The sequence below is a fragment of the Homo sapiens genome, chromosome 8 (genome assembly GCF_000001405.40).
Source record: "Homo sapiens chromosome 8, GRCh38.p14 Primary Assembly".
Taxonomy (NCBI): Eukaryota; Metazoa; Chordata; class Mammalia; order Primates; family Hominidae; genus Homo; species Homo sapiens.
This window is the reverse complement of record NC_000008.11, coordinates 141,699,274-141,701,408: the sequence shown is the minus strand read 5'-3', so window position 1 is coordinate 141,701,408 and position 2,135 is coordinate 141,699,274. Positions and strand designations below refer to the sequence as shown.

Here is a 2,135-nt window from a genome sequence, read left to right as displayed (position 1 = left end):
CCCATCATTGCAACCCTGTGGCTGCTCCATCCGTGCCAACAGTGGGTCTTTCCCATGCCACAGGCCTCAGCACTGCCCTGTCCTCTCCCGCACTGGCCTCTTTTCCTGGGTGGCTGCCCACTGTTTCCCCAGCACCACTCTCCTCCCCAGCCCAGCCCAGCCTCTCAGGCAACAGACCTGCCCCTGGACATGTGTCAGCAATGGCAGCTGAGAAAACCCCTTCCTCCCTCCGCCCTGGAAAGGAGACCCCACCCAATGGTGAGGCTGTGCTCCGCAGTGACCATAGCCTGCTCCTCACTTCCCCCTCCCCTCTGGGCCTGGGCGGGCAGGAGGGGGCTTTCGATGAGGAGGTGAGCTCTGGTGAGACTCACCTCCTGTTCCCAGGGAGCCTGTCAAGCCACTGAGAGGTGGGGAGACCTCCGAGGCTCCCACTGCCAGCTGTGGGGCAGGTGGACTGGCAGGGGAGAGGGCATGGCTGTCACCATCTTCTCACCCCAGGCCCTGTTTGCATACCAATGGGGCTGGCATTGGCATTTCAGAACCCCTGGCAGGAACTCCGGTGGCTCCTAGAGCAGGAAGGGGCTGGCGGGACCAGGTCCAAGAGGGGAAGCCCCCAGGACCAGGTGCCCACAATTAGCCAGGCTTCAGCTAGCCAGCATCCAGGGCGTTCAGAGGACCCAGTAGGGGGCTGGAGACACTGAAATCTTTGGTACCACTGAGTGCTTGAGAAAGAGTGGTTTGCGCTGAGGGAGACAGGGTGGTGACGCTGCTCTGTAGCCTGCAGCTCTGCTGACAGCAGGAGGAGGCTGCTCCATCTTCCCCCAAGACCACCCCAGCCTCTCTCCCCCTCCCCCATCCCGCCTCTCCCCCTCCCCTTCCCCTCTTCCCTCCTCCTCCCTTCGTTCCCCTCCCCCTCCCTCTCTCGCTCTTTCTCCTCCCTCCCCTCCCTCCTCCCTCTCTCTCTCTGAGCAGTGCACCCCGTCTCAAAACAGTGAGGGAAGAGCAAGCCTTCTTATTCAAAACATTAAACAGACAACCCCGGTGTTCATCCCAGGCAGGAGAATGGCTCCGTGAGATAGAGGCTGTCTAGCCCTGACCCATGTTGAGCTCCCCTGTGTCCTTGGGGTCTGGGGCAGCACCTGGCCGCCTGGCCACCATGCATGTCCTTTTCTGTGGCATAAAGAGCCCTGAAATGGTCTCCTTCATCCCCGCCCCATGTCCAGGCCTCTGTAGTCCCCCAGCCTCCAGTGGCGGACATCTGCAAACAGGATCAATGCCAAGCCTCTATTAGGTCATGTGATATGGCAAAGAGGAAGGGATTTTGCAGGTGTAATCAAGGCCCCTAGCAAGCATGGCTTTGCTCTGAGCCAAAGGGAGATTATCCTAGCAGGCCTGACCTCATCAGAGAAGCCTCTTGGGGGACTTTGTCCTTCCCTGAGCTCGGAGACTTCAAACCACAGGGACCCTCTCCTGCTGAACCTGAACAAGCCAGCCCCCACCCCCACCCCAGCAAGGCAGCTTTGAGAAAATGGATTCTTCAATGAGCACATGAGCTTGGAAGCAGACCTGGGGCCACAGAGGGGGTCTCATTGCAGCCAGCTGAGCCCGCCATGACTCCTGACCCAAGAAGGCAGCGAGATAACACCTGGGTGCTGTTGGAAGCCCCTAAGTGTCCAGTGATTTGTTACGTAGTACAGAAAACAGGTACCCTCTCCTTGCTGGGCATACAGCTCCACTGCCTTTCCCAGCCTCCCTTAGGGTGGCCACACAGCCAAGGTCACCCAGAGGGATGCAGACGAAGACAAAGTGGCTACCGCCAAGCTGGTGCCTTGGCTCAGTGGCCTGGGGCTGGGTGAGACGAGGCTACAGCGATCAGGGTTCTCCAGAGAGAGCAGACTGGGGGACACACATGTGCATGTCAAGAGATGGGTTTCAAGGAATTGGCTTACGTGATTGTGACTGTGGGGCTGCAGGTCTGAAATCCAAAGGTGGGCAGGCAGGCAACTCAGGCAGGAGCTGAGAGGCGGAACTTCCTCTTCCTCGGGGAAATCTGTTTAGCTCTTAAGGCCTCAGACCAATTAGATGAGACCTGCCCAGACCGTCAGGGTCATTCCCTTTACTTAGGGTCAACTATT

General features: G+C 58.8%; 1 annotated feature.

Annotated features, from left to right (window-relative positions):
* Positions 285-859: an enhancer, noted in NCBI's record as "H3K4me1 hESC enhancer chr8:142710650-142711224 (GRCh37/hg19 assembly coordinates)". NCBI's record gives its function as "activates a minimal SCP1, AML or CMV promoter by ChIP-STARR-seq in primed H9 embryonic stem cells {active_cell/tissue: H9 hESC(primed)}" and the evidence as "EXISTENCE:reporter gene assay evidence [ECO:0000049][PMID:30033119]".